Below are 15,838 nucleotides of genomic sequence, written 5' to 3' on the forward strand. Positions count from 1 at the left end.
TTCATCTGCGTCCTTTGTAACGTCCTTTATAATAAATGGGTAAACATGTTTCCCTGAGTTCTGTGAGCTGCTCTAGGAAATTAATCTGACCCAAATATGGGGGTTAGGAACCTCAATTTATAGCCAATTGGTCTGAAGCACCCGGGGCTTGAGATTGGCATGGGGAGTGGGCAGCAGCCTTGTGTGGACATCTCCAGGTAGATGAGGATGTCTAAGGACAGATGGCGTCTCCAGCTAGATGGTGTCTCCAGGTAGACAACAACGTCTATGAATTGACGGTGTCTCCAGGTTAACAACAATGTCTCCAGGTTAACAACAATGTCTCCAGGTAGACAACAATGTCTATGAATTGATGGTGTCTCCAGGTTGACAACAATGTCTATGAATTGATGGTGTCTCCAGGTTGACAACAGTGTCTCCAGGTAGACAACAATGTCTCCAGGTTAACAACAATGTCTATGAAAAGACGGTGTCTCCAGGTAGACAACAATGTCTATGAATTGATGGTGTCTCCAGGTTGACAACAATGTTTCCAGGTTAACAACAATGTCTATGAATAGACGGTGTCTCCAGGTTGACAACAATGCCTATGAATAGATGGTGTCTCCAGGTTAACAATAATGTCTCCAGGTAGACAACAACGTCTATGAATTGATGGTGTCTCCAGGTTGACAACAATGTCTCCAGGTTAACAACAATGTCTATAAATTGATGGTGTCTCCAGGTTGACAACAATGTCTATGAATTGATGGTGTCTCCAGGTTAACAATAATGTCTCCAGGTTGACAACAATGTCTATGAATTGATGGTGTCTCCAGGTTGACAACAATGTCTCCAGGTAGATGATGGTGTCTATGGGTGGACAATGTCTCCAGGTTGATCTGGAATCCCTCCCACTGCAGACCCTATCACCTCCTCCACTCAAGGTGTGAGCTTTTGGCTGGTGGGAGGGCGCCCGGGAGGGTCTCTGGAAAGATGGGAACTGGGTGTTAAAGACCTGCTTAAGTGAGTTATACCCAGAGGCCGTCAGTTCCTGCCCGAGAGCACATGGCCCACAGTCACAGGTAAACTGAGGCCTGGCCCTAAGCCCTGGGGACCTCCACCTGCACTGTGATGCTGGGGAGGGTGTGTGGGTTTTCCCGCAGGGTTCGGGTGATAGCGGACGGCACAGGGCAGCAGACAATGGCTCCAAGTAGACGTCTCTAGGTAGATGGTGTCTTCAGGTAGATGGTATCGGAATTAAACTGGAGCACGCCCAGCCGGCGTCGGCTGCAAAACTGACTAATCTGTTGTTGGAACAGAACCCCCACCTGGTGTCAGCAGTGAGCTGTGCTGTGAGAGTGCAGGAGAAACAGCCTAGTTTTCTGACATCATTAGAGGTGATGAGCCACCTTCTCAGCCCCTGCTCACCTCTCCCCCACACTGAAGCCTGCTGGAGCCCTCAGGCCAGGCCCTGAGCAGGAGGCATGGGGTAGGTGTTGCAGGATCTAAAAGGCCTCCCAGGGGCAACAGAGAGCCTGGCCAGGGGCTGTGCCTTTCTCTGCTTGCCCCCACAGCACCCCCAAAGCTTGAGGCTTGATCAGATATCCCTGAGGTCTCCTGGCAGGGACCTTCCTAGTCCTCACTGGCCCCCAGTGTCCCTCTGCCATGTGGCCGCCTCTCCGGGATGACAGGGGGAGGGGCCACACTCCTGCTGGGGCTGGAGATGTTGGGGTCTGGAGTGGGTGTGGGCCTGCCCTGGGGCTGCTCTGGGCATCTGGTTGACACAGAGCCAGGTGCCTGTGCGCCCCGTGGGGCAGCTGTGCCCAGCCTGGCTGCCCTGGAGGAGGGAGCCAAAACCTGGGCCTTTCCACCCAGCCTTCCGGTCTCCCCTCTTCTCCCTGGACATACAGGAATGTGGCTTGCTCCTGACGCCCAGAAGTTCAAGTCCAGAACGTTACTGCAGATGTCGGGAGAGACAAGACAGGACAGAAGGGAGCCTGGGTCAGACCCAGGTCTGCGGTCTGTTGGTCCCCGAAGGGCCTGAGGCGGGGAAAGGACAGTCTTCAACAAGTGGCAGCTGGAACACGGAGTAAAGTTTCGGGAAAAACGAAGCTCAGCCCCACCTCGCATTGCACACAAAATTTAATTCAAGATGGAACATCTAAGCATCAAAGCTAAACTGTAACGCTTCTAGAAGAAAACAGGAGAAATCTTCACAACCTTGGGATAGGCATATATTTTTTTCTTTTCTTTTCTTTTTTTTTTTTTTGAGACAGTCTTGCTCTGTCGCCCAGGCTGGAGTGCAGTGGCGTGATTTTGGCTCACTGCAAGCTCTGCCTCCCGGGTTGATGCCATTCTCCTGCCTCAGCCTCCCGAGTAGCTGGGACTACAGGCGCCCACCACCACGCCCAGCTGATTTTTTGTATTTTTAGTAGAGACGGGGTTTCACCATGTTAGCCAGGATGGTCTTGGTCTCCTGACCCTGACCTCGTGATCCACCCGCCTAGGCCTCCCAAAGTGCTGGGACTACAGGCGTGAGCTACCGCACCCAGCCGGCATATATTTCTTTAAAAAGACATAAAAGGTAGAAATATAAGAGAAAAAAATTGATAAACAAGGTTATATAAGTAAAAAATGTCTGTACCAGTGAGAAAAATGAAAAGTCAAGCTATTAGTTGAGACAAAAATATTCAAAATACACATATCTGATGAACTATATGCAAACTGAAAATGTTTTTATCTTTGTTATTATTATTATGCTTTGAGACGGTCTTGCTCTATTGCCCAGGCTGGAGCGCAGAGGTGTGATCACAGCTCACTGCAGCCTTGAACTCCGGGCTCAGACAATCCTCCGACCTCAGCGTCCCAAGTAGCTGGGACTCCAGGCATGCACCAACACCCTCAGCTAATTTTAAAATTTTTTGTAGAGATGGGGTCTCACTATGTTGCCCAGGCTGATCTTGAACTCCTGGCCTCAAGTGATCCTCCTGCCTCGGCCTCCCAAAGTGTTGGGACTACAGGGGTGAGCCACCACTCCTAGAAGGCAGATTTTTTTTAATCTCAAAACTCAAAAGTCCAGTTTTTAAAAACAAACAAAATATTTGAACAGACACTCCACACAAGAACATATACAAATGACCAAAAGCACGTGAGAAGGTGCTTACCATCCAGTCACTGGGACACGCAAATGGGACCCAGCGAGAAACCACCTCACACGGGCAGACCGACTGCGTCCAGAGTGAGGACGGCTCGTGCCGCGGAGGGTGCGGAGCAGCCACCGCTCCCGTTGGTGCTGGTGGGGATACAAGACGGCACAGCCACCTTGGAAAACAGCTCGGTCATTTCCGATACAGTTAAATGAACATCTGTCTCAGGATCCAGCAGTTCGACTCCTGCAAATCTACCCAAGAGAAATGAAAAAAGGATCTTCATTCTTCACAACGCCTGGGCCAGGGAGCCCCTCCTGCTGGGGCCAGCGTGCTGACGCCCACACAGAGACACCCGCCGGTTCACAGCAGCCCCATTCCCAGCAGCCCCAGACTGAAAACAGCTCCAATGCGTATCACCAGGCGGCTGAATAAACAAACCGTGGAACGTCTGTACGACACAACACTACTCAGACAAAACCAAAACCGAACACGTCCGACCCACACAGAAGCATGGAGGAATCTCAGAAACAGTTCAGTGAAAGAGGCCAAACACAGACGAGTATTAAATGTGCGGTTCCGTTTCTATGAAGCTCAGGAACAGACGAATTCTAAAAACCAGGTCAGTGACTGTGAGGACAGGCCCGACTAGAGAAGGGAACAAGGGGAGTGTCCTCTGCCTGGTGCAGGCAGCAGGTACATGTGTCTGTATTGCTTAAAACTCATCCAAGGCTGGGCGCAGTGGCCTGTCATCCCAGCACTTTGAGAGGCTGAGGTGGGCGGATCACTTGAGGGCAGGAGTTCAAGACCAGCCTGGCCAACATGGTGAAACCCCATCTCTACTAAAAATACAAAAATTAGCCAGACATGGTGGTGCGTGCCTGTAGTCCCAGCTACTCTACTCGGGAGGTTGAGGCAGGAGAATTGCTTGAACCCAGGAGGCAGAGGTTGCAGTGAGCTGAGATCGCGCCACTGCACTCCAGCCTGGATGACAGAGCAAGACTCCGTCTCAAAAATAAATAAATAAAATAGGCCGGGCACGGTGGCTCATGCCTGTAATCCCAGCACTTTGGGAGGCCAAGGCAGGCAGATTGCCTGAGCTCAGGAGTTCAAGGCCAGCCTGGGCAACATGGCAAAACCCCATCTCTACTAAAAATACAAAAACTTAGCCAGGCATGGTGGCTCAAGCCTTTAATCCCAGCTACTCGGGGGACTGAGGAAGGAGAATCGCTTGAACCTGGGAAACAAGAGGTTGCACTGAGCAGAGGTCGCACCACTGTACTCCAGCCTGGGTGACAAGAGCAAGACTGTCTCAAAAACAGAAACAAACATGTCTAATAAGGGATCATTATCCAAAATATGAAAAGAACTCTTAAAACTCAACAATAATGAACAACCCGATTTTTTAAACAGACAAAAGATCTGAAGAGTCACCTCACCAGAGACAGAGAGAAGGCAAAGCAGCAGCTTGTGAAAGGGTGCTTCCCATCACACATCATTAGGAAATCTGCAAACCCAAACAGTGAGTTACCATCATACACCTGTGAGAATGTGCCAGGGCCAGGCGCAGTGGCTCACGCCTGTAATCCCAATGCTTTGGGAGGCCGAGGCTGGAGGATTGCGTTGAGTCCAGGAGTTCGAGACCAGCCTGGGCAACAGAGTGAGACCCTGTCTCCACGAATTTTTTTTTTTTTTTTAGAAGGAGTCTCGCTCTGTCGCCCAGGCTGGAGTGCGGTGGCGTAATCTCGGCTCACTGCAATCTCTGCCTCCCCGGTTTCACACCATTCTCCTGCCTCAGCCTCCTGAGCAGCTGGGACCACAGGCGCCTGCAACCACGCCTGGCTAATTTTTTGTATTTTTAGTAGAGATGGGGTTTCACCGTGTTAGCCAGGATGGTCTCGATCTGACCTCGTGATCCGCCCGCCTCAGCCTCCTAAAGTGCTGGGATTACAGGCGTGAGCCACCACAACCGGCCTCCATGAACACTTTTTAAAAAAATTAGCCGGGCGAGGCGTGGTGGCTCACATCTGTAATCCCAGCACTTTGGGAGGCCGAGGCAGGTGGACCACCTGTGGTCAGAAGTTCAAGACCAGCCTGGCCACATGGCGAAATCCAGTCTCTACTAAAAATACAAAAATTAGCCATGCGTGGTGGCATGCGACCGTAATCCCAGCTACTTGGGAGGATGAGGCAGGAGAATCACTTGAACCCGGGGACTGGAAGTTGCAGTGAGCGGAGATGGTGCCACTGCACTCTAGCCTGGGCGGCAGAGTGAGACTCAATCTTGAAAAAAATAAAAATAAAAATAAAGAATGTCCCAAACCCAAAACGCTGACAACGCCAAATGCTGGTGAGGACGTGGAACAGGAACCTCAGTCATTGCAGGTGAGGACGTGGAGCAGGAACCTCAGTCATTGCAGGTGAGGACGTGGAGCAGGAACCTCAGTCATTGCAGGTGAGGACGTGGAGCAGGAACCTCAGTCATTGCAGGTGAGGACGTGGAGCAGGAACCTCAGTCATTGCAGGTGAGGACGTAGAGGAACAGGAACCTCAGTCATTGCAGGTGAGGACGTAGAGGAACAGGAACCTCAGTCATTGCAGGTGAGGACGTGGAGCAACAGGAATCTCAGTCATTGCAGGTGAGGACGTGGAGCAACAGGAATCTCAGTCATTGCGGGTGGGAATGCGAGATGGTGCTGCCACTGGCGGAAGACACTTCAGTAGTTTCTTACAAAATGAAATACATTCTTACCACACAATCTAGCAGTTTCACCCCTTGGTATTTACCCAGATGAGTTGAAAGCTTAGGTCCACACAAAAACTTGCACGAGGGTTTTTAACAGCAGCTTTACTCATAATTGCCAAACCTTGGAAGAAACCAAGATGTCCCTCAGTCGCTGAATGGTATACTGTGGCCCATCCAAACAGTGGCATGTCACAAAGCACTCCACCCTCTGTGGGGACTCTGCCTTCTGGAGTGCCCTGGGCTGGACAGGCCACAGCCCACTCCCCACTCCTGTGTCCTCAGCTGAGGAGTGGCCAGTGCTGCACCGGCTCCTGGGGACACTCAGTGGGTACAAGACATGACCCCTTGTAGGTTTGTATCTTGTGGCCTCTGAAACCCCATGAAGTATCAGGAGGAGGAGATATCATGGTGGGATACTGAGGGGTGCAGCCCCCTCCAGGGGCAGAGGGAATGATGGGGGTGCTCAGGACGTGTCAGCAAATGGGAAGGGTCACAGCCGGAAGGGTAGCAGGAGGGTAGGAAGGGCCAGAGGTGGGAACCGGGTAGTTACATCGACCTGAGAGAGATGGAGGGGGCCTGGCCTCACAAGAAGGGGATGCATCGTGGATGTGAGGTTGCAGGAAGGTGGGCTGAGCCTGTGGGCAGGTGTTGGTGCTCCCCTCCCCGACGGGGCACGATGGGGACAGAGCATGGGAGGGAATATGAAGCAGGAGCTCTGTCTTGTACACATGGAATCTGAGGAGCTGACAGATGACCTGTGGGGAGGGTGGTCCCGTGCCAATGTGTGCTGGAAGGACATGCCTGTGCGTTTATCAGCTCTGGGCTGCAGCAGGGCACAAGCGTGGAAGAGCAGCCATGGCAGAAGGGCAGGTTTCAGAGTGGACTCTTGGAACCAGCGCCCTGTGCCCCTCCAGCCACCGTCCCGGAGGGCACCCAGTGACCCGGCTTTCGATGCCATTCTGCCTTGAGGGACGTGTCCAACTTTCCTAAGTGGAACCACGCGGCATGGACTTTTTTTTTTTTTGAGACAGAATTTCACTCTGGTCGCCCAGGCTGAAGTGCAGTGGTGCAATCTCGGCTCACTGCAACCTCTGCCTCCCAGGTTCAAGCGATTCTCCTGCCTCAGTCTCCCGAGTAGCTGGGATTACAGGCACCTGCCACCACGCCCAGCTAATTTTGTATTTTTAGTAGAGATGGGGTTTCACCATGTTGGCCAGGCTGGTCTCAAGCTCCTGACCTCAGGTGATCCACCCGCCTCAGCCTCCCAAAGTGCTAGGATGACAGGCGGGAGCCACCACACCCAGTGACCACACAGCGTGGACTTCTATGTCTGCCTCTTGCTGGGCCGTGAGTCTGGGAGGCTGGCCTGTGGCTGGTGTGCAGGCTCCTATGGCCTTGGGTGGACCATGGCAGCAGGGAGGGGAACAGCGTTGGTGACGAGAAGGCTCTGGGACTGAACCTGGGAGAGGGGAGGAAGGGGCCCCCCTGGGCGTGAGTCTGTTGAGCTCCTGACTGGCGGGCGCAGGCCCCTGTGCCACTGAGAGGTCTCCTTACCTGTGAGCGGCGGTGCCTCCGACGCCAGCCTCGGGTCAAGGTGGGGCCCAGGCTGTTCTTACTATTGTCCTCCAGCGATTTGCAGGACACCTTCAAAACCCTCACGAGTTACCGAATCGGCTGATTCAAAACCCTCACCAGGCACCAAATCGGCTGATGCTCTTGATCTCCGACTTGCCAGCGTGCAGAACTGCATAAATGAACCTCTGTTGCTTGCAAGCCCCCCAGCCTGCGGTATTTTGTTACAGTAGCACTAACGACTAAAACGGCCATGATCCTCCCACCAGGCCTCTTGAAAACTCCGATGCGTGCTGGGGAGAGAAGGACAAGGGCACAGGGCACCTGCTGTGATGAAAACAGCTTTGACCTCGGGACACCCTGGAAGGGTCCTGAAGCCCCCAGGCCACACTTGGAAGAACGAAGCATGTGGGTGTGAGTGGTCCGGGGCGGGGGTGGCAGCCAGCGCTGTTTGCGTTGGGCGTGTTTATAGACTTGATTTCTCTCCACACTTCATTCCAAGAGATAGACACTCAAACTATGAAAATTGTTTTTATTTTAAATCAAAGTACCAGGCAGATACTTGCAAAACAACATACAAAGCAAAACTCAAACATGGCCCTTCCCTAGGGCGCCTCTGAGCAGGCACAGAGAAGTTCTCACCCTCTGCAAAATCCAATCCAATCCTATCTTCTCAGAAAACCAAACCAAAGGCAGCCATGAAAACCCGTGTTCTGTACGTGGTTGAGAAGGTCCTCCTCTCTGAGTACTGGCTGGCCCCAAGGCGCAGAACTGGGAGGTCCAGGGAACCCTGCCCCCGAGGAGCCAGCAGGACCTGGAGGAGCCGGGGGCGGTGCTGACAACAACCTTCCCCACCCACTGCAGTGTGGTTCCCATGAGGATGAGGGCTTCTCCAGGGCCCTTCCCCACGCTGGGGCTTGGAGCCCCTGCCAGAAGCAGCTGGGTTGGCGGTAGATGTCCCCGAGGGCCTTGGGAAGCACTGGGAATGGGCTCCCAGCCCTGGTGGAATGGGGGATTGGGAATTAATTCTGAAGCTGGTTGTGGCTTATTTTTGTATGGCTCTGAAATTAACTTCCTCTCCCTATGCCTCAGTAGCTAAGGGGCAGGGGCAGAAAAGGTCCCAACCCTGTTCTTAAAAAGAAAGGAAATGAACCCACAACCCACTGGAAGTTCTGTTGACGAGGGCTGTCAAGGCAGACGCACTCGTGACTTTGACAAAGGGAAGCAGCTGGAAGGTTGCGGGTCCCAGGGTCACAGGCAGCTGTATTAGTGACAGGTTCTGAGCTGGTGGGTGGGGGCCGCAGGGCTCTCCTGACCCCCGTAGGGTCATACCGCTGCATGCTGCAGAACTCAACTAGAGTGGAAATGAGTTTAAAACGGAGTATGTACATCAAAAGATCAACATCACGCCGAAACCAGCTGACTGTGACAACAGCAAACAAAAATGTAACAGAGAAAACAAACAAGACACAGCCTCAGTAGCTTGACATGGGTGAGGGCAGCCAGGACAGGGCCCTGGTGACAATGGCGCAGAGGTGGGGTCTGGGCCGCTCACTGGACGGACAGCCAGCCAGTTCCCTTCGGAGCAGTGAAGTGGGACACAGGACCCTCGCATTGCGGGGCCTCAGACGGGCCTTCAACTGCCGACAGAATCAGCAGGAGCGTCCAGGGGAATCTGGCACTCAGGGTCCTCCCGGGACATGCCCTGTTGGAGACGGCAGGAGGCCTGGGCTGGCTGCTCCCTGAGATGCCTGCCCCAGGACCCTGGCCTGGAGGGGCCTCAGCCTGGTCTTCCTTGTGAGTCCAAGGCCAGGTCTCAGGACAGCCACAGACAGCCCTTCCAGACAGGCTCTGGGCTCCACCTTCGGCAGCTGCCCTGAGCAGCCCACCCGGGGCAGCCTCCTGAACACCCAGGGGCTCTCCCTTGGACAGAGACCACCAAGGGCCAGCCCAGGGGCTGCATGGGGGCCGGGGGCCAGGGAGCCAAGGGCTGTTCCGTGGCCAAGCAGCCCAAGCTGAAGGGCCCACATGGGAATCCTCGACCTCCATAGTGACTGGTTCTGTTTATGCCTCTGCCCCAGGACTGAAGCCCTAGGGACACACCTCATGGATCTCAGACCCCTGGGAGGGGCCGGCTCAGGGACAGGCTGCCCAGGACCTCCGCACCCGGTCAAGTGCACTCACAGGGGCTCAGGGGCCACCCAAAGAGCTAACTCGGGAAGCCTAGGCACTCACCATTATTTTGGTTGAAAATGCTATAAATCTGACTCTTCCTAGAAGCCTACTAAGCAATTCACTTAAAAACACCCTCAGTACATGTGCAACAATGCCTGGACCACGCCTCGTCTGTGCGGCCCCTGGGCCACCTGAGCACCGGCTGGGGGCGGGGGAGGCAGGCACCCATCAGGATCTGCACCCCAAGCTCCGGGTGCATGTTCCCAACTGGAGGAGAACGGGGCGCCAGCCACACTAAACCTACAGAAAACTGTGGGAAGAAACCAAATCCATAGGATCCAGAGGTTTCACACTTGGGCTTAGCTCCCAAGTCATGAGTTAGTAACGTCCCCAGGGACCTGGCTGGGTGCAGACATGGGGGCCTCGTGACCTGCTGCACCGCGTCCAGCACCTGCAGGGTCGCGCTCGGCACCTGGCTCTGCTTCCTCTGTCTCTGCTGCACCCAGGCTCCCCCTAGCCCCCGCCCACCTGGCTCCTGATCAAGGCCCAATGTGTAAACAGTATTAATAAGCAACAGATGGAAAAATATATTTCCCAAGAAAAAAGGGGGAGGAAACGTGGGACCTGAAGACCGATTTTCCAGGTTGCTCTCGCTGTTCTGTCCCCTTCTCTCTTCTCGTGATTTGTTTTGGCGATTCCTCTCTTTGGTTCTGCAGACCACGTGACCCACCTGCCCGAGCCAGCCCTGCGGCCTCTGCCCGCTCCCTGCTGCCGCGGCTGAGAGACAGCCAGCCCTGTCCGTCCCAGGGGCCTCGCCCTCCTGTCGGCTACTTCCGCTCGTGGTCCTCTGCCATGGCAGCCACCTCAATGGTGGCCGTGTGCTCCTCAGGCCCGGGGGCAGCCCCTGCGGGCACTGTCACAATTGTGCTGGAGCCAGGCGAGGCCTGGGCCACGTTCTGCAGGGTGGGGCCCAGGCCAGGCAACGTGAGCAGCTGTAGCGGGCTGACCACCTTGAACACCGTGCTACCGTCCTGCACGGCGGCCGTGCTCAGGACCGTGAGGCTGGACGCGTCCGGGTGGATCTCCACTGTGCTGGGGTAGGTGGAGCCGGAAGAGGCCAAGACTGTGTATCCCCCGAGCAGCGGGGAGGCCGGGGAGCTGGCGGGGGGCGCCTGAAGGGAACCCTTGCCCAGGACGGTGGACGGCAGGGTGGACACCACTTTACCAAGGGGCACGCTGGTCAGCTGGGGGACGGGCACGCCCGGGCCAAGCGCCAGCTGGGCAGACTGGGTGAGCACCTGCGAGGCCATGGCGGCCGGTCCTGATGTGGCACGTGCAAGCCGGGGCCGCTTCACAGGCGGTGGCAGGGAGACCGGCGTCAGCGTCATGAGCACGTTGCTGAGGTGCTGGGACTTGTGCTTCAGCTCCTTGGCTCGGCGACGATGCTCATCACACTGCTGCTCCAGGGCTGCAGGGAGGTACAGATGGCATCACACAGGGGACGGGGGCATGGATGGCGGCATGCAGGGGATGGGGGCAGACACGCCACACCATCTGGGTGGCCCCTGGGTCAGTGGCAACCCAGGTCTGCTCACCTGATGCCACAAACCCAGATGACCACATGGCCGCCAAAGGTGAGGTCTGTGGGAGACGGGGCCCAAGATGGCCCTCGGGGTAGACACCAGCCTGTGCTGACCCAGGGTCTGCACTGACCCGGGGCCTGTGTGCAAGCGTGGCAATCCCGTCTCAGACCCTCCTGCACTGACCCAGGGCCTGCGTGCAAGCGTGGAAATGCCGTCTCAGATCCCCGCATGAGCTTTCACACACCCAGCGTGGAAAGTTGCTCTTGTGACATATTAAGAGAGAGAGGAGGAAAAGCAGCACATGTGGCACATGTGTTTAAACATAAACATGCACACACACATGCAGAGTGCACACACACAATGAACACAAACAGTGAACACACAAAGTGAAGAGTGAACACACAGTGCACACACACTGAATACACACACACTGAACACAGTGAACACACACACTGAATACACACACATTGAACACACAGTGAACACGCAGTGAACACACACACACTGAACACACACACAGTGAACACACAGTAAGCACAGACCCCAAGAGGAGCATGGAGGAAACGCACCAATATCAGGGGCTTGAGCTCTGAGCGGGGTCAGGACCAGCCCTTCCCATTCTCTGTCATTGTTTTTTTTTGAGACAGGGTCTCGCTCTGTCACCCAGACTGGAGTGCAGTGGTGTGATCTCAGCTCCCTGCAACTTCCACCTCCTGGGCTCAAGCAATTGCCTGCCAGCCTCCCGAGTAGCTGGGATTACAGGCACACACCACCATGCCCAGTTTTGTTTTGTTTTTTTCAGCAGAGATGGGGTTTCACCACGTTGGCCAGGCTGGTCTCAAACTCCTAGCCTGAAGTGATCCGCCCGCCTCGGCCTCCCAAAGCGCTGGGATAACAGGCGTGAGCCACCGCGCCTGGCCTCTGTCATTTTCTCTTAAATAACTACTTGGTTCATCACAGAAATGCCGGTAAATGTAAGCTTAGTGCAATGGAGAGGTCTGACTACCTCACTTAAGCTTCAGGTTGTTTTCCTCGCACAACAGCAGTGCGGAGAAGCTCGCCGTGGTGGCGGTGACTCCAGGAAGTGCAGGTGGATGCACAGCCGTGGGGTGAGCCCGTGGGCTCCAGGTCCTCAGCCTACCGCCCAGGGGACGGGACGGGGGTGGTCTCAGCATACCTGCCAGGTCCCGGGCGTACTGCTCCCGCGAGCGGTCCATCTGGCACTTGTGGCTGGCCAGCACCTTCTTCACCAGGTCCAGCATGCCGAAGTTCTGCACGATGTTGTTGAGAAGTACAGCATCTTAAAGGGTAACGCGGACACTCAGTGAGAGCCCAAGCCCTTCCTAGAGAGCCACGCGGACGCTCGGTGAGAGCCCGGGACCTTCCTAGAGAGTCACGTGGACGCTCGGTGAGAGCCTGGGCTCTTCCTAGAGAGTGAGAACACCACCACTGAGGCTGCTCCTCAGGAACCCAGCCAGCCAGGAGCTCAGTTCAGAGGGAGAAGACTGAGATACATCAAGGCGATCCTCCCACCAAGTTCAGCCTCAGCACAGCAGGAGTCCCAAGCCTAGATTCAGCCTCCAACCCAGCAGCACAGAAGGGCCTAGGGGCAGGAGGGCCAGTGGCCTCACCTCCTGCAGAGACTCCTGGGCTGAGTAGCCAGCAAGAGGGAAGATGCAGCTTCTCACCTCGAAGCTGCAGGGGAGGGTCCTGGACCCGCTGCTGCAGGCCTCTCATGGTCTCCACCAGCTCCTGGTGGAACTCCTGGATGACCTCGTCCAGCAGGCCGGCGTCCTTCAGCCCCCGCCAGAAGGTAAATGTGTCATCTGTGAGGGAAGGAGTGGGTTCAGTGGGCAGGGAAAGTGCTGCTACACGGGGCAGCCACCACAGCCACAAGGACATCACCATAGCCACGAGGACACCATGCCAGAGCCGGCAGCGCCTGGCACTGTGCTGGGCTTGCACTGCCCAGACACATCCACAGTGCCAAAATCTAGCAGGTCAGCCTCAGAGCGCCCACGACAATGCTGCTGGAACCAGGCCTTTCTCCACAAAGACCCTGCCGGCCCCACCTGGACTCCTGGAGCCCCTGTGTGGCCCGAGGTGGGCAGAGACTCCACCACCCCGCCAGGGCTTGTGAGAAGCCCACAAGGAGGAACCTCGTACCTCCAATGGCCGCGGTCCAGTCGCCAGGGTCTTCACAGGTCTCTATGGTGATGGTCGCAGGAGACCCATTCACTGCAGCCGAAAGGGAACCTCGGGTGAGTGCTGTTTGGACCACAGTCCCACACCCCACATACCCTGTCCACCCTCCTCACACCACCTTCTGAACCTTTCCATCTGTCTTCACAAAACTGACAAACACAGGATACGCACTAGTACAGCCAAAGTGTACCTGCCTTATATTTTATGGCTATTTTTAATCACAGACGTTGTCAAACATACAAAGGAGAAACAACGCAGAAACAAATCCCTTGAACCCGTCACCCAATTTCAGCAAATCCTCAACACTTTCCTCCTCTTGTCCATTTACGATTGTACTCAACAAGCACTTTCGACTGGACCGTCAGGAGCGAGACAAGGTGATCCTTCTGCTTGACTTGTTTTCCCACCGAGAGCTCTGCGGCTGCGTCTGTCGCCCGTGGGGCTCGCCCTCACCTCGCCTCTTCAAGTGATGCTTCATTGAAGTCATCATAAATCTCAGTATCTATCATGTTTCCATTTTTCTACACCAGAACAAGTGGGGCTTTGAGAGACAGAAACCGTCCTGGCTCTTCCTGTGGGTCCCTCTCTCGCGCCTGCAGAACACAACTGGGCGTGTCGTTCATATGTGGCCATTTTGGGCGTTGCTGATAGAGACTTTATACACAGATCTGGCTTAAAAAACAAACCCGGGGCCGGATGTGGTGGCTCACGCCTGTAATCCAGGCACTTTGGGAGACTGAGGCGGGTGGATCACCTAAGGTCAGGAGTTCGAGAACAGCCTGGGCAACACGGCAAAACCCCGTCTCTACTAAAATACAAAGTCAACCGGGTGTGGCGGCGTGCGCCTGTAATCCCAGCTACTCGGGAGGCTGAGGCAGGAGAATCGCTAGAACCCGGAAGGCAGAGGTTGCAGTGAGCCGAGATCAGGCCCCTGCACTCCAGCCTGGGCGACAGAGCAGGACTCCTTCTCCAACACCACCACCAACGACCTGGAAGCAGTTGAATGTTTTGGGAATACTGGCCTTTTCCACATTCATCAAAGACATGGCAGTGGTGAGTATGACTCATATTACACATCTGGAATTATTTGGGGCGTGAATGAGTCGTTTTTCCGAGTTGGGGCTGGCACAGCATCTTTTACTAACTGCACAGTAGCCAAGTCAATGGTTCTCAGAGATTGCAGGTTAAAGAACCCAAATCATCTTCAGAAGAGCTGAGCCTCAGCCTAGCTGTGAGGCACTGACTACAGGGCGTGGAAGGCCCAGTTCCTTCCCTGGCAGGCGGTCAGGCAGGGCCAACACTAACGCGGTGGAGCCGCTGGGGAGGCCCTGGGGAGGACAGACAGGAGGCTGGGCTCTACCCAGCCCCTCTGACCACAGCAGCCCAAGTGTCCTGGGCTTCTCAGGACTCAGCACTGAACCTGCCAGGCTGCCCCAGCAGGACGTGGAAGGGGGCCCAGGAGAAGGGTGAGGCCTCCCTAGTGCCCTGGCCTCACTCTCCTACCCAGCGGGACAGGACAGGACTCAACTGGGTCCCACCTGGGCCAACAACAAGGACGTCCCTGGGCACACAGGAACACAATCTGGCCAGCAATGCGGAGTGGCAGCTTAGGGACAATGCATGTGGCATTGCTGGAAACACATCACCAAAGACCACCCAGAGATGTGACCAGGGAGCCCAGGACCTAACTTCACTTTAACTTCAGTTTTTTTGTTTTGAGATGGAATCTCACACTGTCGCCCAGGCTGGAGGGCAGTGGAGCGATCTCAGCTCACTGCAACCTCCGCCTCCTGGGTTCAAGCGATTCTCCTGCCTCAGCCTCCTGAGTAGCTGGGACTACAGGCATGCACCACCACACCCGGCTAACTTCTGTACTTTTAATAGAGACAGGGTTTCATCCTGTTGGCCAGGCTGGCCTCAAGTGATCCACCCGCCTCGGCTTCCCAAAGTGCTGGGGTTACAGGTGTGAGCCACCACACCCAGCCTAACTGTAGTTTTAAGAAAAATTTCTCTATTCATAAAGCTGGAAAGAATTCTAGGGAACAACCTCTCCACAGTTTAGAGCTACAGACACCAACGTGGAACAGTATCTAAAGCGTCACCCAAAAACCCAAGTGGCAGGAATACCTGCAGCAAGGCACCCAGCACGGAAGGCGGGAGCACAGGCGCGCAGTTCCGTAAACCGCCAGGTCAGGAGGGAAGCGGGTCCAGATTTGGGGCTGGGCCGTGGGGGTGGGAGGGAGGGGGCCGGGTGGGCGCCCAGGCACTCTCTGTTACTCGCTATACCCTTCCCCACACGTGAGTTATTATATTACAACCAAAATGGCTTAAAAAGAAAAGTGCTTCAATCTTCCTTGTCAATGAAAGCAGCAATTCTGCCAGATCTCCTCTGTGAGGCAGGAGGAGGCTGATCCCAGACAACTCAGGGT

The 15,838-nt window shown here is 55.2% G+C and overlaps 1 protein-coding gene across 6 annotated transcripts in view, besides 7 other annotated features; it reads right to left on the reverse strand.

Annotated features, from left to right (window-relative positions):
• Positions 1,490 to 1,669: an enhancer, noted in NCBI's record as "active region_18234". NCBI's record gives its function as "activates an Ori minimal core promoter by ATAC-STARR-seq in GM12878 lymphoblastoid cells {active_cell/tissue: GM12878}" and the evidence as "EXISTENCE:reporter gene assay evidence [ECO:0000049][PMID:35858748]".
• Positions 2,953 to 3,453: an enhancer, noted in NCBI's record as "H3K4me1 hESC enhancer chr20:62213946-62214446 (GRCh37/hg19 assembly coordinates)". NCBI's record gives its function as "activates a minimal SCP1, AML or CMV promoter by ChIP-STARR-seq in primed H9 embryonic stem cells {active_cell/tissue: H9 hESC(primed)}" and the evidence as "EXISTENCE:reporter gene assay evidence [ECO:0000049][PMID:30033119]".
• Positions 3,454 to 3,954: an enhancer, noted in NCBI's record as "H3K4me1 hESC enhancer chr20:62214447-62214947 (GRCh37/hg19 assembly coordinates)". NCBI's record gives its function as "activates a minimal SCP1, AML or CMV promoter by ChIP-STARR-seq in primed H9 embryonic stem cells {active_cell/tissue: H9 hESC(primed)}" and the evidence as "EXISTENCE:reporter gene assay evidence [ECO:0000049][PMID:30033119]".
• Positions 7,838 to 8,007: an enhancer, noted in NCBI's record as "experimental_61137 CRE fragment used in MPRA reporter constructs". NCBI's record gives its function as "activates a minimal promoter by MPRAs in K562 erythroleukemia cells, with activity observed for the introgressed 20:62218916 or rs13043255 variant allele {active_cell/tissue: K562}" and the evidence as "EXISTENCE:reporter gene assay evidence [ECO:0000049][PMID:34662402]".
• Position 7,923: a transcriptional cis regulatory region, noted in NCBI's record as "Neanderthal adaptively introgressed variant 20:62218916 (GRCh37/hg19 assembly coordinates) or rs13043255 in the experimental_61137 CRE". NCBI's record gives its function as "modulates activity of the experimental_61137 enhancer by MPRAs in K562 erythroleukemia cells {active_cell/tissue: K562}" and the evidence as "EXISTENCE:reporter gene assay evidence [ECO:0000049][PMID:34662402]".
• GMEB2 (glucocorticoid modulatory element binding protein 2) overlaps positions 7,965 to 15,838 on the reverse strand; it is a 39,497-nt gene continuing 31,623 nt past the window's right edge. For all 6 annotated transcript variants that reach the window (NM_012384.5, XM_047440106.1, XM_005260202.5 and 3 more), the window contains 4 exons: positions 13,371 to 13,442; positions 12,893 to 13,030; positions 12,382 to 12,504; positions 7,965 to 11,089 (listed from right to left, as the gene is read on the reverse strand). In NM_012384.5, the coding sequence (NP_036516.1) occupies positions 10,449 to 11,089; positions 12,382 to 12,504; positions 12,893 to 13,030; positions 13,371 to 13,442 (974 nt within the window). In that variant the 3' untranslated portion in view covers positions 7,965 to 10,448. The remainder of the gene's footprint in view (positions 11,090 to 12,381; positions 12,505 to 12,892; positions 13,031 to 13,370; positions 13,443 to 15,838) is intronic.
• Positions 8,601 to 8,770: an enhancer, noted in NCBI's record as "experimental_61148 CRE fragment used in MPRA reporter constructs". NCBI's record gives its function as "activates a minimal promoter by MPRAs in K562 erythroleukemia cells, with activity observed for the introgressed 20:62219679 variant allele {active_cell/tissue: K562}" and the evidence as "EXISTENCE:reporter gene assay evidence [ECO:0000049][PMID:34662402]".
• Positions 10,688 to 10,857: an enhancer, noted in NCBI's record as "experimental_61158 CRE fragment used in MPRA reporter constructs". NCBI's record gives its function as "activates a minimal promoter by MPRAs in K562 erythroleukemia cells, with activity observed for both the introgressed and non-introgressed 20:62221766 variant alleles {active_cell/tissue: K562}" and the evidence as "EXISTENCE:reporter gene assay evidence [ECO:0000049][PMID:34662402]".

The sequence above is a fragment of the Homo sapiens genome, chromosome 20 (genome assembly GCF_000001405.40).
Source record: "Homo sapiens chromosome 20, GRCh38.p14 Primary Assembly".
NCBI lineage: Eukaryota > Metazoa > Chordata > Mammalia > Primates > Hominidae > Homo > Homo sapiens.